Raw genomic sequence first — 23,588 nt, forward strand, 5'->3', positions numbered from 1 at the left:
TGGTGAAAGAATATTTAATTATGTAGAAAGCTGATTACAGAAAATGTTAAATGAAAAAAATTACAAAGCCAGTTATCCTGTATAATACCATTTTATAAAGGAAAAATAGAAATGTATGCATAAGGATATATAGAGAAGAAAGACTGGAAGGATATTGTACTAATCCTTTCTTGCATTGCCATAAAAAAATGCCTGAGACTGGGTAATTTATAAGAAAAGAAGTTTAATTGGCTCACAGTTCCACAGGCATACAGGAAGCATAGTGCCAGCATCTGCTTCTGGGGAGGCCTCAGGGAGTTTTACTCATGGCACAAGGCAAAACCAGAGCAGAGGCATCTTCATATGGCCAGAGCAGAAAGAACAGAGAGAGAGGAGGGAGTTGCTACACACTTCTTTTTTTTTTTTTTTTTTTTTTTTTTCAGTGGAAAATAACTTTTATTGAGACCCCACCAACTGCAAAATCTGTTCCTGGCATTAAGCTCCTTCTTCCTTTGCAATTCGGTCTTTCTTCAGTGGTCCCATGAATGCTTTCTTCTCCTCCATGGTCTGGAAGCGGCCATGGCCAAACTTGGAGGTGGTGTCAATGAACTTAAGGTCAATCTTCTCCAGAGCCCGCCGCTTCGTCTGCACCAGCAAGGACTTGCGGAGGGTGAGCACCCGCTTCTTGGTTCCCACCACACAGCCTTTCAGCATGACAAAGTCATTGGTCACTTCACCATAGTGGACAAAGCCACCCAGAGGGTTGATGCTCTTGTCAGATAGGTCATAGTCAGTGGAGGCATTGTTCTTGATCAGCTTGCCATCCTTGATAAGGTAGCCCTGGCCAATCTTATAGATCTTCTTGTTGATCTCAGTGCGGTGATGGTAGCCTTTCTGCCCAGCGCGTGCCACAGAGAATTTGATGGCGTGATGTCTCACAGAAAGTTCTCCGCTCCCAGACATGGGTCCCTCGGCTTCCTGCCTCGGAAGCGCAGCAGCAGGCATCGTGGGAAGGTGAAGAGCTTCCCTAAGGATGACCCGTCCAAGCCGGTCCACCTCACAGCCTTCCTGGGATACAAGGCTGGCATGACTACACACTTCTAAACAACCAGAACTCACAATAACTCACCCACTCACTATCACAAGGACAGCATGGAGGGGATGGTTATAACCCATCATGAGAACTCTGCTCCCATGATCCAATCACCTCCTACCAGGCCCCACCTCCAACATCGGGGATTACAATTCAACATGAGATTTGGACAGGGACAAAGATCCAAATCATATCAGATATATAAGCAAAAATTTAAAATAGTGGTCATTTCTGGACAGTATGATTTTTGTACAGATATTTTCTTCTTTTTGCAAATCTGTATTTTCTTAATTTTCTATCATTCACATGGCTATTTCTGTAATAGAAAAAATAATTTTGAACATTAAACAAAATACCTGTTTTTATTACGAGAAAGCATAGGAATGGAATTTGCAACACGCTCGACACATGCAAAATATCCAATGTGAGATTATGCAAGGGAGAGAATGCATGGAATCTGGAATGGTGCATCGATTTGAAATTAGAGTTGGAAAGGAAGTCATTAATCCATTTGCACAGCTGAGAGACTGAGGCCTAGAAAGGAGAGTGGTTCAGATGAGCCAGCCAGGCCTTGACCTTGAGACAACCAGACTCTGAAGATTTTTCCATGACCCAGGCTTTGATTGTTTTTGGTTTTTGTGGCCCTTCCCTCTAAGTTCTATCACCTTACGAAATCAGTTGGGCTTAAGTGTCAGTACCAGGATTGTTCAAATAAGCAATATGCACCATAGGGGGAAAATATTGATCTGAAAGCATGAAGGTTGTTTGTCTAGTTTCACACAGCCAACCAAATTAACAAGACAGAATGACTCAGAATGTCAACTGAACCAGGGAGGTGTTGCCTTGGAGGACAAGGAAAAGGTGATCTGTGAAACCAGCCACAGGTACCATAAGCCAAGAGGACAGAAATCTCTCACAATTTCTGCAAATCTAGTTCCTTCTACACAGCATGAAAGATAGACATGACTTTGATGCTACATGGAAACCTAAAACTTTGTCACTGAGGCACAAAAGATATTCATTTTCTGGTGGCAAAAAATTTATCACCACAAAAAAATTTGTCTCAGTGAGGAGATAGTTAAGAAAAAAAATACTCTTCTCCTCCCCTGGCCATGTCAATCTTATTAGTGACAAATTACCCTCTCCCACACACTGTCCTTTTGTTTTCTAATTATGACTCCTGCTGTCAGAATGGAGAATCAGCCACACTGGCTCCTGCCTCAGTGGATGCTCAGACACATGCAGATTCCTCTATGCCCTTGTAAAATATTCTGCACAAAAGAAATAATTCTAAATCCTACCATTTTTTTTGCACAATCCTCTTAGAGCCTTGAGGGGCAGTAAAAAAGAAAAAGGGAATTGTTGGTAGATTTGTTGAGACTTTGAGACTGTCCTTCAGTGAGTAGAGGCAAAATAAAGCCTTTTTTCAGACGTATAAAAGCTAAAAGAATTCATCACCAGCAGACCTGTGCTACAAGAAATGTTAAAGAAAATCCTTCATGCAGAAGGAAAATGATAGCAGATGAAAACCTGGATCTACACAAAGGAATGGAGAGCACCAGACGTGATAACCATGTGGGTAAATATACAGGCACTTTTCTTATTATCTGAAACTCTTTAAAAGACAATTGACTGCTTAAAGAAAAATAACAACAATGTATTATGGCGTTTATAATGTATGTAGAAGTAAAATGTATGGCCACAATAGTGCAAAGGCCAGGAAAGGAAAAATAGAAATATAGTGTTATAAGCAACTTATACCATATGTGAAGTGATATAATAACACTTGAAGGTTGACCATGATAAACTAAAGTGCATATTAACCCTAAAGCAACTATTAAAATAACTGAACAAAAAGTTTCACTACTAAGCTAATAAAGCAAATGAGACAACATGGATCATTAAAAAAATACTCAATCCAGGCTGGGCGCGGTGGCTCATGCCTGTAATCCCAGGACTTTGGGAGGCCGACGCAGGTGGATCACGAGGTCAGGAGATCAAGACCATCCTGGCTAACGCGGTGAAACCGCATCTCTATTAACAATACAAAAAATTAGCCAGGCGTAGTAGCGGGTGCCTGTAGTCCCAGCTACTCAGGAGGCTGAAGCAGGAGAATGGCGTGAACCCGGCAGACAGAGGTTGCAGTGAGCTGAGATTGCACCACTGCACTCCAGCCTGGGCGACAGAGCGAGACTCTGTCTCAAAAAAAAAAAGAATATTCAATCCAAAAGAAAGGTAGAAAAGAAGAAAAAAAAAACAAACAACAGATGAGAATAATAAAAGACTAATAGCAAGATGGTAGATTTAAACCTAACCATATCTATAATGGTATCAAAAATTAGTCATCCAAACATCACAATTAAAAGACAGAGATTGACTGTCAGATTGGATAAAAACAAAACAAATAGACCCAACTCTATACTACCTATAAGAAACTCACTTTAAATATAAACACACTAAAAGGTTAAAAGTAAAAGGATGAGAAAAAATATACCACACTAACACTAATTAAAACAAAGTAGGAGTGGTTATATTAAAAATCAGACAAAGTAGATTTCAGAGCAAAGAATAACAAAGAGATAGCAAAGGTCATTTTTAATGGAAAGGTATTAATTCATCAAGAGAACATAATGATCCTAAATGTTTACGCATCCACTAACAAAACCTCAAAATATAGAGGGAAAAATTGTCAGAACTGCATAAAGAAACAGACAGTTTCACAATTCTAGTTGTAGATTTTAATGTCCCCTTTTCAGTAATTGACAGAACAAGTAGATGTGAAATCATTAATAATACTTGAAGAACACTATCAGCCAACCTAATCGACCCATATAGAGCACTTCACCCAACAACAGCAGAATATTCTTTTTCAAGTGCACTTGAAACAATCACCAAAATAGAACATATTCTGGGCCATAAAACAAGTCTTACTAATCCGTGTCATACACAGCATTTTCACTGACCACAATAGAATTAAGTTGAACATCAATAACACAAAGATATCTGGAAAATCGTCAAGTACAGTCATTCCTTGGTATCTGTGGGGGATTGATTCCAGGACCTCCCACAGATACCAAAACCTGCAGATGTTTAAGTCTCTGATATAAAATGGCATAGTATTTTCATATAACTTATGCACATTCTCCTGTACACTTTAAATCATCTCTAGATTACATGTCATACCTAATAAATACAGTGTAAATTCTATGTAAATTATTGTTATTCTGTATTGTTTAGGAAATAATGACAAGAAAAACTAAGTCAATACATGTTCAGTACAGATGCGATTTTTTTAAAAATATTTTCAAGCCAATCTATGATTCAACCAATCTATAATTGGTTGAATCCATGGGTGTAAACCCACAGATACACAGGCTAACTGTATTTGGAAACTAAACACTCTTCTAATGCTCCACGGGGCAAAGGAGCAATCAAAATAAAAATGAGAAAATATTTTAAACTGAGTAAAAATGAAAACACATCAAAATTTATAGAATGCTGCTAGAGCAGCACTTAGGGAGAAATTTATGGCATTACGGAATAAGAAATGTCTCAAGTCAATTATTTCAGCTTTCAGCTTTAGAAACTAGCTAAAGAAGAATAAATGAATCCAAATTTAAGCAGAAAATAGTGAAAATAAAAACAATCATAGCAGAAATTAAAGAAATAGAAATCAGTAGAAAAAACTAATAAAACCAAAAACTGTTTTTTTGACAAGATTAGCTGATGAAATTTTAGCCAGTCTGACCAGGAACAAAAAAGAGAAGAAAAAATTACTAATGTCAGGAATAAGAGAGGTGATATCACTACAAATTCTATAGATATTAAAGGGATAACTAGTGGACATTATTACATTTTATGCCAACAAAATCAACAACTTGGATGAAATTCGACAAATTACCAAAGCTTACTTAAAAAGAAGTAAATAACCCAAATAGCACTTTGACTATTGAATAAATTCAAATTTTTGTTTAAAACTTTCCCAGTAGAAAACACCAGGCCCAGATGGCTTCACTGGTAAATCCTACCCAAATATTTCAGAAAGAAATAATACCAAATTTTTCCAGAAAATAGAAGAGGTGGGAGTGTTTCTCCACATATTCAATAAACCAGCACAATCTTGATAATAAAACTAGATTACTACAAGACAGGAAAACTATAGAACAACATGATCATAAATGCTTACATAATCATAAATGCAAAATTTCTTTAAAATTTTTTAGCAAATCAAATCTAATAACAAATATAAAGGATTTTCTCCTTGGAATAACAGATTGGTTTAATTTTTGAAAATCACTACAGTTCATTATATTAACAGACAAAAAAATTTTAAAAAACATATGATCATCTTAATAGACACATAAAAACCATTTGGCCAAATGAAGCATCCATTTCTGAAGATGTGTAGTGAATGAATAAATAAAAGAGCCGATCATGTAAAAGAAAAAAAGAAAAACAAAGACACTCAGCAAACTAGGAATACAAGGAAACTTGCTCAATATAATAAGGATCATTGTCCAAAAACTTTTGCTAATAGCATATTTAATGGTAAAATACTAAATTTTTCCATCCTTAGTTCAGAAGCAAGTCAGAGAAGCTCACTCTCACCACTTCAATTCACCATTGAACTGGAAGTTCTAGGCAGTGCAATAAGGCAAGAAAAAGAAATAAAAGGAACTATTGAAAGAGAAAGCATAAAACTGTTTTTATTCATGGACATATTGCCCATATAGAAAATTCTATGTAATCTGCAAAAAAAAAATTGATTAAAACTAAATAAGTGAGTATGGCAAGGTTGCAGAATATAAGATCAATATAAAAATCAGTTATATTTCTATAGACTGGAAACAAACAACCAGAAATTGAAATAAAAATTGTTTATGTAGCATTAAAAAATAAGAAACATTTAGGGGAATAAATCTAACTAAAGATGTGGAAGACCTGAGTACAGAAAACTACAAAATGTTGCTGAGAAAAACTAAGAAAGATCTAAGTTAATGAAGGTTTTCATAATCATAAAACAGAAGATTCACAATTTTAAGATACCACATCTCTTCTAATTGATCTATAGCTGCAACATAATCTCAATCAAAATCCAAGCAAGCCTTTTTGTAGAAAGCCAACGTTAAATTTTGTATGGAAATGCAAATAACCCAGAATAGCCAAAACAACTTTTAAAAAGAAGGACATAGTAGGGTGACTAACACTGACTGACTTCAAGACTTATTACAAAACTACTGTAATCAAAAAAGTATGGTATTGGTGCTAAAATAGACAACTAGATCAAAGTTCAGAAATCAACTCACATAGATATGGTCAATTGATTTTCAACACAAATATTAAGACAATTTAGTGAAGGAAAGACAGTCTTTTCAATAAATAGTGCTAGAACAACTAAACAATTTTATGCCAAAAAAGAACTTCAATCCATACCTCACACTATATACAAAAATTAACTCAAAATGAATGATAAAACTAAATGTAAAAAATTAAACTATAAAACTTCTAGAAGAAAACATAGAAGAAAATCTTTGTAACCTAGGGTTAAGCAAATATTTCCTAGCTACAACACTAGAAGCACAATTCTTAAAGGAAAAAAACTATAATTGACCTCATCAAAACTATGAACTTCTGTTCTTCAAAAGACACTTTGGAAACTTAAAAGGCAAACCACAAAATGAGAGAATGTATTAGCAAATTGCATATCTAATAAAGAACCATAACCAGAATACATAAAGAAATCTCAAAAGAGTAATTTTTAAAACAAAGTTAAAAAGAAATGTTGTTAAGGATGTGGAGAAATTGAAACACTTATGTACTGTTGGTGGGAGTGTAAAATGGTGTAGTCGCTGCAAAAATAGTATGTCACTCCTTCAAAAAATAAAAAATTAGAATTACCCTGTGATATGGTTTGGATTTGTGTCCCCGCCCAAATCTCATGTCAAATTGTAATCCTCAGTGTTGGAGGAGGGGTCTGGTGGGAGGTGACTGGATCATAGGGGCAAACTTCTCCCTTGCTGTTCTCATGATAGTGAGTGAGTTCGCATGCTATCCGGTTGTTTAAAGGTGTGTAGCACCTCCCCCCTCACTTTCTTCCTCCTGCTTCGGCCATGTAAGATATGCCTCCTTCCAGCCAGGTGAGGTGGCTCACGCCTGTAATTCCAGCACTTTGGGAGGCCAAGGAGGGTGGATCACGAAGTCAGGAGATCAAGACCATCCTGGCTAACACGGTGAAACCCCATCTCTACTAAGAATACAAAAACTTAGCTGGGCATGGTGGCACACGCCTGTAGTCCCAACTACTCGGGAGGCTGAGGCAGGAGAATCACTTGAACCCAGGAGGCAGAGGTTGCAGTGAGCCGAGATTGGCACCACTACACTCCAGCCTGGGTGACAGAGTGAGACTGTCTAAAAAAAAAAAAAAAAGATATGCCATCCTTGCCTCCTTCCTCTTCACCTTCCACCATGATTGTTAAGTTTCCTGAGGCCTCCCCAGCCACGCTTCCTGTACAGCCTGTGGAACTGTGAGCCAATTAAACCTCTTTTCTTTATAAATTACTCAGTCTCAGGTAGTTCTTTATGATAATGCCAGAACAGACCAATACACCATGTGATTCAGCAGTTCCACTTCTGGCTATACTACTGTCTGAGTGTGTGTGTCCCCTCAAAATGTATACGCTGAAACCTAATCTCCAATGTGATGGTACTAAGAGGTGGGGCTTTTGGGAGGTGATTAGGTCAAGAGGGCTCCACTCTAATGAATGGGATTAGTGCCCTCATAAAAGAGACTAAAGGAGCTTTTTTATCCCTTCCACCCTGTGAAGATACAGCTAGAAAATGCCATCTATCAGGAAGAGGCCCTCACCAGAAACTGAATCTGCTGGTACCTTGATATTGGACTTCCCAGCCTCCAGAATTGTGAAAAATAAATTCCTATGGCTTATAAATTACCCACTCCAAAGCAGCCCAAATGAACTAAGACAGGGTATAGATCCAAAAGAATTAAAAACACTTTCTTGAAGAGATATTTGTACAGCTATGTTCAGTATTTTTGTACAGCAGCATTATTCATGATAGCTAAAGCATGGAAGCAGCACAAGTGTCCACTAATAGACGAATGGATAAACAAAATGAGGTCTATCCATACAATGTGATATTATTCGCATTACAGAGGAGAGAAATTCTGACATATGTTACAACATGGATGAACCGTGAGGACATTATGCTGAGTGAAATAATCCAGTCACAAAAGGACAAATGCTGTCCAGACTTGGTGGCTTACATCTGTAATCCCAGCACTTTGGGAGGCCAAGGTAGACAGATCACCTGAGGTCAGGAGTTCAAGACCAGCCTGGCCAACATGATGAAACCCCATCTCTACTAAAAATACAAAAATTAGCCAGGCTTGGTGGTGTATGCCTATAATCCCAGTTACTTGGGAGGCTGAGGCACGAGAATTGCTTGAACCTGGGAGCCAGAGATTGCAGTGAGCTGAGATTGTGCCACTGCACTCAAGCCTGGAGGACAGAGCAAGACTCTGTCTCAAAAAGAAAAAAAAAAGGACAAATGCCGTATGATTTCACTTACGTGAGGTATCGGCAGTAGTCAAATTTATAGAACCAGAAAGTAGAATGGAGGTTGCCAGGGTTGGGGGAAGGGGAATGGGGAGTTAGTGTTTACTGGGGACAGAGTTTCCAATGAAGAGTCCTGGGGGCAGATGGTGGAGATGCTTGCACAGGATTATGGATGTATTTAATGCCATTAACAGCATGCTGAGAAATGGTTAAGATGATAAATTATATGTTAGGTATATGTTAACACAATGAAAAAAACAAAACACATGCATGGGCCAGGCACAGCGTCTCATGCCTATAATCACAGCACTCTGGGAGGCCAAGGCAGGCAGATCACTTGAGGTTAGGAGTTCAAGACCAGCCTGGTCAATATGATGAAACCCCGTCTCTACTAAAAATACAAAAATTAGACGGGTGTGGTGGCAGGCGCCTGTAATCCCAGCTACTTAGGAGGCTGAGGCACGAGAATCTCTTGAACTCAGGAGGTGGAGGCTGCAGTGAGTCCAGATCTCACCACTGCACTCCAGCCTGGGTGACAGAGTGGGGCTCTGTTTCAAAAAAAAAAGAAAAAAAAAGTATAAATGAACCTTCATGTACTTGTCCCAGGGAAAGGCCCTCCAATTCTCTCTTAAATCTTACTTTGGCTCTTTTGTAATAATCTTGCTTATTTACTTTTTTTTTTCCATGCATAAAGACCTAAGGCAACTTCTTGTATATGTTTCTTCTTTCCAATCCACAATAGATTTCAGGGAGGGGGAGGGAGGAGGGATGCTGAAAGATATACTGGCCAACATCTTTCAGTGTGACGGCATCACTGGGCTAGAAGGGACCAGAGGTGATGACCTGGACCAATCCACTCATTTACAAACCAGGAACCCAGAACTCGGGGAAGAGAAGGGATCTTCCCAAGCTTACCTGGTAAGCTAGTGGCCAACCTGAACCCAGAATCCCAAATCCTCCAAAATTCCTCTTAGGCTCTTACCTTTATGGAGTAGCGTGAGAAAGAGATAGAACGACTACAAAAAGCAGACAGGAAACCTGAAAAGGAACTGAAGTCTGGGGCCATTTAGTGTCACTGAAAAATAGTAGCCCCATGTAAAAGTCACACAGTATTTTAGAGTGGTACAAGCTGATATTCCCAACCGGAGCTCGGAATTTCACAGACAATGCTACATCATATTCCACTGTCTCTGCCTAAGCGGAAATTATTTCCACTTAGAGTGGTTAAAACAAAAGGTGGTAGACGCCTAAATTGCTGAGCTTCTGTCATCTAGATATAGTTTGTGAGCTATTTCAAAGCAGAGACGGAATGTTCGAGCATGGACTTCCTACGTATACCCTTCTTTATAAATTAAACACATGTATTGTTAAGCATGTGTTTTTATTTATACTGAGCTGAGTTAACCATAAATAAAAGTTCTAGTGTTTTTTCCTTGTCTTCAGTGTTAACTCCCTGCATGTACATCTACCCCGTTTGGAAGCCACCAGTGTAGAACATTCAATTGTGGGGAACAGAGTGTTGGCATGGGGTCAGGAAACCTGGATTCTACTATATCCTGTGCCACTCTATCTCACCCAGTTCTTACCTCCATTATGCAGACTAGGAATCTGAAATGCAGAGAGGTGGAATGGCTTGCCCAAGGTCACATTGAGAGTAGCCAGAGAGCAAAACGAGGACTTGGGTCCAGATGTAATACCAGAATTGTTTCTTCTGGGATCGGGCTACAGTGCTACAAGGCAGCATTCAGAAAGAACAGGAGATCTCAAAGGTGCCAAGGTAGAGGAAACACCCAACTCCTAGAATGTCTTGGCAAAAACACTGTAGTCTACAGCTTAGCTGGAGTGACAGACATCACACCAAATAAATAAACACGTAAGTTTTTACAGGAAGTGCTACAGAAGGGGAAATCACATGTATGCCCTGAGAGAGGAAGATGAGAGGAACATTGGAATCCAGAAGTCAGGGACTTAGACCTGTCTTCTTAGCTTGCTTTTTCAGACTTTACCAAATAATATATCAGCTATCGGGGGATGGAGGATGGTTTTTAGCACCCCACATTCCCTAATCGGTTAAAATTCTCCACTTAGTACAAACCAAGATGCCAGCTTCCCTCAGCTGTCTGTAAAGAGGCTAACAGCCAATTTGTGTTAGCAGGAAATCTGTTGCGAACGTATCCAATTCGCTGCCACTGTATGTATGTTTAATGTTTCCCGTTAGGAATCATCTTCTTACTGTTTTGTCGCCATCATTTCAAGCTCTCCTCCCCCCTCTTCATTTTATGAACATGGCACATCAATTAATATTCCCGCATTTTTTGTTATTGTTCTCAACCCATGTGAATAACGACCCCTCATTGTATTGCGCGTTAATTTCTACAGCCTGTCAGCCTGTATTGGAATGTTCTTTCTAGCAGGGTCCTGGGCCGGTCCTGGAGCTGCTCCTTAGTAGATGAGTAAAAATTGATTCCCTGGCCCCCTTGAATAATTCCTTGGCCCCCAAAATGGGCCCTTTCCTCAAGCTGTGGCCCCTCCCACAGAAGAGGGAAGAGACAGAAACAGAAAGAGAAGCTTCCTTTGACATTTGAGGTGTCTGGACTCCTCCAGGTAGCAAACTGGTTTTCATGGTGCACACAGAGGAGGGATGATATCGGAGCTCAAGTACAGTGCCCCAGCAACACGTACAGATCGTGTACTCACAGGGACACAGTTTCACATTGTGAAGCCGCATCAATAGGAAGGGAGGGAGGAAGGGAAGAAAGGGAAGGAGGAAAGGAGAAAGGGAACGAAAGAAGAAAGAAAAGAAGGAATGAAGGAAAGAAGGAGGGAGGGAGGGAGGAAGAGCAAAAAGCCTGCAGCATTTTGACAAACCAAAAAGGAAAGGGATGACTTCTGACGTTTACCTATTTTGAGGACTGAACCCAAAGGACTGAGGTGACACCAAATAGGACAAATGTTGGTTCCTAGAGCATGGTGACCTCATTGCATAGCTATCAAAGAGCACAACGTCTTCAGAGTCAGGCAGATCCAGATTGGAGTCACACCCCCTGCCCTGCTGCTTACCAGGCTGAAGGCTCCTGGTGGAACATCTCTGGCTGGTCTGGGTGAGACCCCATAGGCCACTTCCCCACCCACAGACTTTACTTCCACAGAGCTCACCCTACTCGTGACATATGGGGTTGATCAACTGTTAAGCCCAGTCTCTTCTCCTGGCCTGGAAGCTCCAGGCAGGGCACTGTATATAAGACTGATTATAGCTGAAATCCCAGAGCTTGGTGCAAGGCTACAGAGCTCAAGAAAGATTCTCCAGAGAGCAGAAGCCAAAATCAGACCAGGATAATGAGTGATGGGACAATCATGATGAATAGGGCGATGACACAAAGTGTAGCCACCTTTGATTGAGCATCTATTCTACACCCGGTGCCCTCGTAGGAACTTCGGGTTCACTGACTGCTGAACGCCACCAATAGTCCTTTGAAGTTGGGACTGATAACTCCATTTTATAGATGGGGGAAGGATGCTCAGAGTAGCAAGGTGGCTTTGCTACAACCGCATAGCTAACTAATAACATAGGCAAGACTGAAACCAGCTCTAAGGATCCCCTAAAACACTGTTCTCTCTTTTGCCCCCGCGTGTCTCAAAGGGGTCCTCCATGGACGAGGTGACCCAGAGATGCAGCCATGGAGGGTAGAGCAAGAAGTGCAGCCTCAGCACTTCACTGACCCAGTCAGCGGCCTCTGCAGGGCTGGCCCAGCCGCAGCTTCAGATCCACCCCGCCAGCCAATCAGCCCACGACAGGAAGCTCTTTCTGCAACTCATCTGCCCTTATCTCCTGGCAGAGCGGCTCTGTGAGGTCACGATCACCACACCTTATCAGAACATCTGCACCTACTGGGGACACAGCCCAACAGGCTCAAAACAGCAATTTCCTTTAGGTCTTCTCCTCAGAACTCCGCATCACAGGCACCACAAATTAAAATAAGAACCCCAAACTGAAACTTTAGGGAGGTCCTCCCTTGTAGGGCCTAGCCTGGAGCAGAGGCCATGGGAAACTATAGGTAGCAAGTACCTTGTCTTCCACCATCTGGTGAGCTCTTGGCTGTCCTGCAGAAGCCCAGCTCAAATGTCCTTCCCCCTAGATTTCCCAGTGTCTCCTCTGTCAGGCCTCTGAGCCCAAGCCAAGCCATCGCATCGCCTGTGACCTGCACGTATACGCCCAGATGGCCTGAAGTAACTAAAGAATCACAAAACAAGTGAATATGCCCTGCCCCACCTTAACTGATGACATTCCACCACAAAAGAAGTGTAAATGGCCGGTCCTTGCCTTAACTGATGACATTACCTTGTGAAAGTCCTTTTCCTGGCTCATCCTGGCTCAAAAAGCACCCCCACTGAGCACCTTGCAACCCCCACTCCTGCCCACTGAGCACCTTGCGACCCCCACTCCTACCCGCCAGAGAACAAACCCCCTTTGACTGTAATTTTCCTTTACCTACCCAAGTCCTATAAAACAGCCCCACCCTTATCTCCCTTCGCTGACTCTCTTTTCGGACTCAGCCCGCCTGCACCCAGGTGATTAAAAGCTTTATTGCTCACACAAAGCCTGTTTGGTGGTCTCTTCACAGGGACGTGCATGAAATTTGGTGCCGTGACTCGGATCGGGGGACCTCCCTTGGGAGATCAATCCCCTGTCCTCCTGCTCTTTGCTCCATGAGAAAGATCCACCTATGACCTCAGGTCCTCAGACCGACCAGCCCAAGAAACATCTCACCAATTTCAAATCCGGTAAGTGGCCTCTTTTTACTCTCTTCTCCAACCTCCCTCACTATCCCTCAACCTCTTTCTCCTTTCAATCTTGGCGCCACACTTCAATCTCTCCCTTCTCTTAATTTCAATTCCTTTCATTTTCTGGTAGAGACAAAAGAGACATATTTTATCCATGAACCCAAAACTCCGGCGCCGGTCACGGACTGGGAAGGCAGCCTTCCCTTGGTGTTTAATCATTGCAGGGATGCCTCTCTGATTATACACTCACGTTTCAAGGGTGTCAGACCACGCAGGGACGCCTGCCTTGGTCCTTCACCCTTAGCGGCAAGTCCCGCTTTCCTGGGGCAGGGGCAAGTACCCCTCAACCCCTTCTCCTTCACCCTTAGCGGCAAGTCCCGCTTTCCTAGGGGGCAAGAACCACCCAATCGCTTATTTCCACGCCCCAACCTCTTATCTCTGTGCCCCAATCCCTTATTTCCGTGCCCTGACCTCTTATTTCTGTGCCCCATCCCTTATTTCCACGCCCCAACCTCTTATCTCTGTGCCCCAACCCCTTTTCCCACTTTTCTGGAAGGTAAGAACCCCCGAACCCCTTCCCTCCATTTCTCTACTCTCTCTTTTCTCTAGGCTTGCTTCCTTCACTATGGGAACCTTCCACCCTCCATTCCTCCTTCTACTCCCTTGGCCTGTGTTCTCAAAAACTTAAAACCTCTTCAACTCACACCTGACCTAAAACCTAAATGCCTTATTTTCTTCTGCAATGCCGCTTGACCCCAATACAACTCGACAGTAGTTCCAAATAGCCAAAAAATGGCACTTTGAATTTTTCCATACTGCAAGATCTAAATAATTCTTCTAAAATAGGCAAACGGTCTGAGGTGCCTGATGTCCAGGCATTCTTTTACACATCAGTCCCTTCCTAGTCTCTGTGCCCAGTGCAATTCATCCCAAATCTTCCTTCTTTCCCTCCCGCCTGTCCCCTCAGTACCAACCCCAAGTGTCGCTGAGTCTTTCTAACCTTCCTTTTCTACAGACCCATCTGACCTCTCCCTTCCTCCCCAGGCTGCTCCTCGCCAGGCCGAGCTAGGTCCCAATTCTTCCTCAGCCTCTGCTCCTCCACCCTATAATCTTTTTATCACCTACCCTCCTCACACCTGGTCCGGCTTACAGTTTCGTTCCATGACTAGCCCTCCCCCTCCTGCCCAGCAATTTACTCTTAAAAAGGTGGCTGGAGCCAAAGGCATAGTCAAGGTTAATGCTCCTTTTTCTTTACCCCAAATCAGAAGCGTTTAGGCTCTTTTTCATCAAATATAAAAATCCAGCCCAGCTCATGGCTCGTTTGGCAGCAACCCTGAGACGCTTTACAGCCCTAGACCCTAAAAGGTCAAAAGGCCATCTTATTCTCAAAATACATTTTATTACCCAATCTGCTCTCAACATTAACTAAAACTCCAAAAATTAAATTCCAGCCCTCAAACCCCACAACAGGATTTAATTAACCTCGCCTTCAAGGTGTACAATAATAGAAAAAAGTTGCAATTCCTTGCCTCCACTATGAGACAAACCCCAGCCACATCTCCAGCACACAAGAACTTCCAAACACCTGAACCGCAGCGGCCAGGCGTTCCTCCAGAACCTCCTCCCACAGGAGCTTGCTACACGTGCCGGAAATCTGGCCACTGGGCCAAGGAATGCCCGCAGCCCAGGATTCCTCCTAAGCCGCGTCCCATCTGTGTGGGACCCCACTGAAAATCGGACTGTTCAACTCACCTGGCAGCCACTCCCAGAGCCCCTGGGACTCTGGCCCAAGGCTCTCTGACTCCTTCCCAGATCTTCTCGGCTTAGCGGCTGAAGACTGACGCTGCCCGATCGCCTCGGAAGCCCCCTAGACCATCACGGATGCCGAGCTTCGGGTAACTCTCACAGTGGAAGGTAAGCCCGTCCCCTTCTTAATCAATACGGAGGCTTCTCACTCCACATTACCTTCTTTTCAAGGGCCTGTTTCCCTTGCCTCCATAACTGTTGTGGGTATTGACGGCCAGGCTTCTAAACCTCTTAAAACTCCCCAACTCTGGTGCCAACTTAGACAATACTCTTTTAAGCACTCCTTTTTAGTTATCCCCACCTGCCCAGTTCCCTTATTAGGCTGAGACACTTTAACTAAATTATCTGCTTCCCTGACTATTCCCAGACTACAGCTATATCTCATTGCCACCCTTCTTCCTAATCCAAAGCCTCATTTGCTTCCTCCTCTTGTATCCCCCCACCTTAACCCACAAGTATAAGATACCTCTACTCCCTCCTTGGCGACCGATCATGCACCCCTTACCATCTCATTAAAACCTAATCACTCTTACCCCACTCAATGCCAATATCCCATCCCGCAGCATGCTTTAAAAAGATTAAAGCCTGTTATCACTTGCCTGCTACAGCATGGCCTTTTAAAGCCTATAAACTCTCCTTACAATTCCCCCATTTTACCTGTCCTAAAACCAGACAAGCCTTACAATTTAGTTCAGGATCTGCGGCTTATCAACCAAATTGTTTTGCCTATCCACCCCGTGGTGCCAAACCCATATACTCTCGTATCCTCAATACCTGCCTCTACAACCCATTATTCTGTTCTGGATCTGAAACATGCTTTCTTTACTATTCCTTTGCACCCTTAATCCCAGCCTCTCTTCACTTTCACTTGGACTGACCCTGACACCCATCAAGCTCAGCAAATTACCTAGGCTGTACTGCCACAAAGCTTCACAGACAGCCCCCATTACTTCAATCAAGCCCAAATTTCTTCCTCATCTGTTACCTATCTCGGCATAATTCTCATAAAAACACACGTGCTCTCCCTGCCAATTGTGTCCAACTGATCTCTCAAACCCAAGCACCTTCTACAAAACAACTCCTTTCCTTCCTAGGCATGGTTAGCGCGGTCAGAATTCTTACACAAAAGCCAGGACCACACCCTGTAGCCTTTCTGTCCAAACAACTTGACCTTACTGTTTTAGCCTAGCCCTCATGTCTGCGTGCAGCAGCTGCCGCTGCTTTAATACTTTTAGAGGCCCTCAAAAATCACAAACTGTGCTCAACTCACTCTCTACAGTTCTCATAACTTCCAAAATCTATTTTCTTCCTCATACCTGAAGCATATACTTTCTGCTTCCCGGCTCCTTCAGCTGTACTCACTCCTTGTTGAGTCTCCCACAACTACCATTGTTCCTGGCCCAGACTTCAATCTGGCCTCCCACATTATTCCTGATACCACACCTGACCCCCATGACTGTATCTCTCTGATCCACCTAACATTCACATTTCCCCAAATTTCCTTCTTTCCTGTTCCTCACCCTGATCACACTTGATTTATTGATGGCGGTTCCACCAGGCCTAATCGCCACACACCAGCAAAGGCAGGTTATGCTATAGTACAAGCCACTAGCCCTCCTCTTAGAACCTCTCATTTCCTTTCCATCGTGGAAATCTATCCTCAAGGAAATAACTTCTCAGTGTTCCATCTGCTATTCTACTACTCCTCAGGGATTATTCAGGCCCCCTCCCTTCCCTACACATCAAGCTCGAGGATTTGCCCCACCCAGGACTGGCAAATTAGCTTTACTCAACATGCCCTGAGTCAGATAACTAAAATACCTCTTAGTCTAGGTAGATACTTTCACTGGATAGGTAGAGGCCTTTCCTACAGGGTCTGAGAAGGCCACCGCAGTCATTTCTTCCGTTCTGTTAGACATAATTCCTCAGTTTAGCCTTCCCACCTCAATACAGTCTGATAACAGATGAGCCTTTACTAGCCAAATCACCCAAGCAGTTCCTCAGGCTCTTGGTATTCAGTGGAACCTTCATACCCCTTACCGTCCTCAATCTTCAGGAAAGGTAGAACGGACTAATGGTCTTTTAAAGGTACACCTCACCAAGATCAGCCTCCAACTTAAAAAGGATTGGACAGTACTTTTACCTCTTGCTCTTCTCAGAATCAGAGCCTGTCCTCGAGATGCTACAGGGTACAGTCCATTTGAACTTTTATATGGATGCACTTTCTTGCTTGGCCCCAACCTCATCCCAGACACCAGCCCTCTAGGCGACTATCTTCCAGTACTCCAGCAGGCTAGACAGGAAATTCGCCAGGCTGCTAATCTTCTCTTGCCTACTCCAGATCCCCAGCCATATGAAGACAACCTAGCTGGACGATCAGTTCTTGTTAAGAATCTGACCCCTCAAACTCTACAACCTCGATGGACCGGACCCTACTTAGTCATCTATAGTACCCTGACTGCCGTCCGCCTGCAGGATCCTCCCCACTGGGTTCACCGTTCCAGAATAAAGCTGTGTCCATCGGACAGCCAGCCTAATCCCTCCTCTTCCTCCTGGAAGTCGCAAGTACTCTCCCCAACTTCCCTTAAACACACTCGTATTTCTGAAGAACAGTAATAACCCTTATGAGCCTAATACATCCCTTCATTCTATTAGGTCTGTTCATCCTTACCCTACTTTTTGCAACAGGGCTTTACGAAGTCACCCCACCACTTAGGCCGAGCCCCAAAAAACTAGTCATCCCTACTATCTTCTGTCCGGTCATACTCCTATTCTCCATTCTCAACTACTTATAAATGCCCTACTCTTGTTTACACCGCCGGTTTACACTGTTTCTCCAAGCCATCACAGCTGATATCTCTTGGTGCTATCCCCAAACTGCCACTCTTAACTCCCTCTTAGAGTGGATAGATGATCTTTGCTGGCAAGGCACCCTCCAATACTTCCACCCTGATGAAGTTCTATTCTTTACTTTTATACTCACTCTTATTCTCATTCCCATTCTTATGTCACCCTCTACCTCTCCCCAGCTATCTCCACCACACTATCAACCTTACCCATTCTCTCCTAGCTGCTTCTAATCCCTCCTTAGCGAACAACTGCTGGCTTTGCATTTCCCTTTCTTCCAGTGCCTACACAGCTGTCCCCGCCTTACAGACAGACTGGGCAACATCTCCCATCTCCCTACACCTCCGAACTTCCTTTAACAGCCCTCACCTTTACCCTCCTGAAGAACTCATTTACTTTCTAGACAGGTCCAGCAAGACTTCCCCAGACATTTCACATCAGCAAGCTGCCGCCCTCCTTCGCACTTATTTAAAAAACCTTTCTCCTTATATTAACTCTACTCCCCCCATATTTGGACCTCTCACACACAAACTACTATTCCTGTGGCCACTCCTTTATGTATCTCTTGACAAAGACCCACTGGAATTCCCCTAGGTAATCTTTCACCTTCTCGACGTTCCTTTACTCTTCATCTCTGAAGTCCAACTACACACATCACTGAAACAATTGGAGCCTTCCAGCTCCATATTACAGACAAGCCCTCTATCAATACTGACAAACTTAAAAACATTAGCAGTAATTATTGCTTAGGAAGACACTTGCCTCGTATTTCCCTCCATCCTTGGCTACCTTCCCCTTGCTCATCAGATTCTCCTCCCAGGCCCTCTTCTTGTTTACTTATACCCAGCCCTGAAAATAACAGTGAAAGGTTGCTCGTAGATAGTCGACATTTTCTCATACACCATGAAAATCAAACCTCCCCCTCTACACAATTACCCCATCAGTCCCCATTACAACCTCTGACAGCTGCCGCCCTAGCTGGATCCCTAGGAGTCTGGGTACAAGACACCCCTTTCAGCACTCCTTCTCACCTTTTTACTTTACATCTCCAGTTTTGCCTCGCACAAGGTCTCTTCTTCCTCTGTGGATCCTCTACCTACATGTGTCTACCTGCCAATTGGACAGGCACATGTACACTAGTCTTCCTTACCCCCAAAATTCAATTTGCAAATGGGACCGAAGAGCTCCCTGTTCCCCTCATGACACCGACATGACAAAAAAGAGTTATTCCACTAATTCCCTTGATGGTCGGTTTAGGACTTTCTGCCTCCACTATTGCTCTCAGTACTGGAATAGCAGGCATTTCAATGTCTGTCATGACCTTCCATAGCCTGTCTAATGACTTCTCTGCTAGCATCACAGACATATCACAAACTTTATCAGTCCTCCAGGCCCAAGTTGACTCTTTAGCTGCAGTTGTCCTCCAAAACCGCCGAGGCCTTGACTTACTCACTGCTGAAAAAGGAGGACTCTGCATATTCTTAAATGAGGAGTGTTGTTCTTACCTAAATCAATCTGGCCTGGTGTATGACAACATAAAAAAACTCAAGGATAGAGCCCAAAAACTTACCAACCAAGCAAGTAATTATGCTGAACCCCCTTGGGCACTCTCTAATTGGATGTCCTGGGTCCTCCCAATTCTTAGTCCTTTAATACCCACTTTTCTCCTTCTTTTATTCGGACCTTGTATCTTCCGTTTAGTTTCTCAATTCTTCCAAAACCATATCCAGGCCATCACCAATCATTCTATACGACAAATGTTTCTTCTAATATCCCCACAATATCACCCCTTACCACAAGACCTCCCTTCAGCTTAATCTCTCCCACTCTAGGTTCCCACGCCGCCCCTAATTCCACTTGAAGCAGCCCTGAGAAACATCATCCATTCTCTCTCCATACCACCCCCCAAAAATTTTCACCACCGCAACACTTCAACACTATTTTGTTTTATTTTTCTTATTAAGAAGGCAGGAATGTCAGGCCTCTGAGCCCAAGCCAAGCCATGGCATCCCCTATGACCTGCACATATACGCCCAGATGGCCTGAAGTAACTAAAGAATCAGAAAACAAGTGAATATGCCCTGCCCCACCTTAACTGATGACATTCCACCACAAAAGAAGTGTAAATGGCCAGTCCTTGCCTTAACTGATGACATTACCTTGTGAAAGTCCTTTTCCTGGCTCATCCTGGCTCAAAAAGCACCCCCACTGAGCATCTTGCGACCCCCACTCCTGCCCACTGAGCACTTTGCGACCCCCACTCCCACCCGCCAGAGAACAAACCCCCTTTGACTGTAATTTTCCTTTACCTACCCAAATCCTATAAAACAGCCCCACCCTTATCTCCCTTCGCTGACTCTCTTTTCGGACTCAGCCCGCCTGCACCCAGGTGATTAAAAGCTTTATTGCTCACAGAAAGCCTGTTTGGTGGTCTCTTCACAGGGACGCGCATGAAATCCTCCACCCCCAGTTACAGTGGCCAGTACTCTGACAATACCATGTCCACTTGTCTCACTGGATTTTGATGTCTGTGTCCCGCACCAGACTATAATTAGAGGATATAAACCTCCTCGTGGTACAAACATAGGTTAGTCATGTAGAATGAATGTAAGATGTAATTGTGGTTCATCAGGTTATTAGCTCTGTGACCTTGGGCACAATCACCTTTCAGAACCAGTTCACTCATCTGTCCAAGGGGGATAAAACAGGTATCTCTATCACTGTGGGGATTAAATAATCACTTCAGGCCAGGTGTGATGGCTCACGCCTGTAATTTCAACATTTTGGGAGGCTGAAGCAGGCAGATCACCTGAGGTCAGGAGTTCGAGACTAGCCTGGCCAACAAGTTAAACCCTGTCTCTACTAAAAATACAAAAATTAGCTGGGCGTGGTGGCAGGTACCTGTAGTCCCAGCTACTCAGGAGGCTGAGGCAGGAGAATCACTTGAACCCGGGAGGCAGAGGTTGCAGTGAGCCGAGATCACGCCACTACACTTCAGCCTGGGCAACAGAGCAAGACGCCATCTCAAAAATAAATAAATAAATAATCATTTCAAGTGCTAGAAACATAGAAGCTACTTACTACATGTTAGGACCACCCCCTTCCCCTCCCACCTCTCCCTTCCAAACACTATGCCTGGCAGGTTAAAATGCTCACCAATAAATCACTGAATGGATGGATTTTAAGAAGGTGCTGAGGTTTTACTCAATACAGAATCCTTAAAAGAGCCAGGAGAGATCTAACTCAGGGGAGAACCCCCATGTCTTTGCCACAGAAAAAGTTCTAGGATGGATCCAGCGAGATTCTCACCACTCCTGTCTTCTTGGACACACAGGAAGACTACACTTTCCAATGTTGCTCACAGTGATGTTAGGGCCATGTGCCTCGGTTCTGACCAATGGAATGGGAGTGGACACACAGGCACCTGTCAAGTCCAGCTCCAATTCACTCTATAGGCTACTTCATGCTCCCTCTGCTTCCTCTGTCCTTGTGGCTGAAGGTAAAAGGCTGTGGACATAGGGGAGCTGCACTGTGGAAGAAGCCCAGTCAGTACTCAGAGGAAACTCAATGGACTCTAACACAAGTCAAAAGTAAGCTTTTGTTATGTTAAGGCACTGAAATGCTGGATTGTTTGTTATAGCAACTACTGTTTCTTATCCTGATTAACAAAACAAGGAGACAAAAGAGGGGTGCAGATTTCTTTATATTCTAAAATAGATGTCATCAGATTATCAGTCAAGTATCAGGAGGTGAGGAAACAGATTTTGCAGGATAGATGGCTAGACATTTAAGTTATCCAGGGAAAGGCACTTTCTAAGACTGTTTCCTGTGATTATGTGGCAGGCAGAACTTGTGGCTACTGAACTTACAGCTCTAGAGAAGCGGTTGGAAAACACAGCATTCATAATCTGCATGTTTCAGCTACATTTGAGTGCATCTGGAAAACTATTAAAGAAAGATAAGCTGAGGAAAGATTTGACCAGTTTGCAAGCAGAATGGAAGGAGAATTAGAGCATCCAGAAATCTGGGATTTTGCCAGGTTAGAAAAGCCAAATGCTTCAAGTCCCCAGGAGTCAGAAATGGGATTTTAAAAGGTTTGAAGGGCAAAGGCCTAGGAAATCTTCTGAGTTGGGTAAAGGAACTTGAAGCAAAGATTCAGATTAAGGGTGTGGCATTTCTATTCAAGCCTTTTAACTCCAAAGAAACACCAGTAAATCGAAAGAGAGTGAGAGAGAGAAAGGCAGGGGAGAGAAAGCAAAGAAATGAAACCCATCTGAGAACCACACCTCAAAAGGGACTTTGGGTGTGGCTACCAGTACACAGAATGGAGCCAGGCAAATGGATCAGAAGCTTACTAAATTCTTAAGGGTTATGCGTCTAAGGAAAGCAAAAGTCTGAGTTCTAAAGGCCTTTCACTATTCAAGACTTAAAACACATTTCGTTCTAGAAGAAAACAGGAGAAACACTTTGTGACCTTGGCTTAGGTAAAGATTTCTTAGATACAGCATCACAAATCACAACCTTTAAGAAAGAAATTGATAAATTAGACTTCATCAAAATGAAAGCTCTGCTCTTAAAAGTCACTGTTAAGAAACAGTAAAAGACAGACCAGGTGCAGAGGCTCACGCATGTAATCACACTTTGGGAGGCCAAGGCAGGCAGATCACCTGAGGTTAGGAGCTCGAGATGAGCCTGGCCAGCATGATGAAACCCCATCTCTACTAAAAATACAAAGATTAGTCAGGAGTAATGGCGGACGCCTGTAATCCCAGCTACTTGGGAGGCTGAGGCAGGAGAGTCGCTTGCCACTGCACTCCAGCTTGGGTGACAAAGCAAGGCTCTGTCTCAAAAAAAAAAAAAGAAAGAAAGAAAGAAAAACAGTAAAACACAAGCCAAAAGACTAGGAAGAAGTATTTGCAAATCACATAACAGAGAAAGGACTTGTGTTCAAAGTAGACAAAGAACTCTCACAACTCAAAATAAGAAAATAATTCAATAACAAAATGGGCAAAAGATTTGAAGAGATCGATCCTGGAATAAGATTGATAAAGGTCAAATAAACACATGCTCAGTTATTAGGGAAATGCAAATTAAAGCTACAATGAGATACAACGACACACTTATTAGAATGGCTAAAATGAAAAAGACATACACCAGGTGCTGACAGGACAGAAAGCAACTGGTACTCCCGTGTACTGATGGTGGGCGTGCAAAATGGTACTGCTGCTTTGGAAAACACTGGCAGTTTCTCATAAAATTAAACATACACTTACAATATGACCCAGTAATTCCATTCTCCATGTACCCAAAAGAAAAGAAAACTTAAAACCTATATGTGAAAGTTCTATTTATTCACAGCAGCTTTATTCTATTTCCAGCCAAAAAAAAAAAAAACAGAAACAACAAAAATGTCCTTCAAGAGGTGACATCTATATACTTAGAATATTACTTGGCAATAAAAATAAACTGTTTCATTGATATGGGAAACAACTTGGATGAATTCCAAA

At 42.9% G+C, this 23,588-nt stretch overlaps 1 pseudogene, besides 3 other annotated features; it reads right to left on the minus strand.

Moving 5' to 3' along the window:
- On the minus strand, positions 419–897 carry RPL3P4 (ribosomal protein L3 pseudogene 4; annotated as a pseudogene).
- Positions 12,499–13,117: an enhancer, noted in NCBI's record as "OCT4-NANOG-H3K4me1 hESC enhancer chr14:99451240-99451858 (GRCh37/hg19 assembly coordinates)". NCBI's record gives its function as "activates a minimal SCP1, AML or CMV promoter by ChIP-STARR-seq in naive and primed H9 embryonic stem cells {active_cell/tissue: H9 hESC(naive and primed)}" and the evidence as "EXISTENCE:reporter gene assay evidence [ECO:0000049][PMID:30033119]".
- Positions 19,958–20,533: an enhancer, noted in NCBI's record as "OCT4-NANOG hESC enhancer chr14:99458699-99459274 (GRCh37/hg19 assembly coordinates)". NCBI's record gives its function as "activates a minimal SCP1, AML or CMV promoter by ChIP-STARR-seq in naive and primed H9 embryonic stem cells {active_cell/tissue: H9 hESC(naive and primed)}" and the evidence as "EXISTENCE:reporter gene assay evidence [ECO:0000049][PMID:30033119]".
- Positions 21,393–21,982: an enhancer, noted in NCBI's record as "OCT4-NANOG hESC enhancer chr14:99460134-99460723 (GRCh37/hg19 assembly coordinates)". NCBI's record gives its function as "activates a minimal SCP1, AML or CMV promoter by ChIP-STARR-seq in naive H9 embryonic stem cells {active_cell/tissue: H9 hESC(naive)}" and the evidence as "EXISTENCE:reporter gene assay evidence [ECO:0000049][PMID:30033119]".

This window comes from Homo sapiens, chromosome 14 (assembly GCF_000001405.40).
Source record: "Homo sapiens chromosome 14, GRCh38.p14 Primary Assembly".
In the NCBI taxonomy this organism is placed as follows: Eukaryota; Metazoa; Chordata; class Mammalia; order Primates; family Hominidae; genus Homo; species Homo sapiens.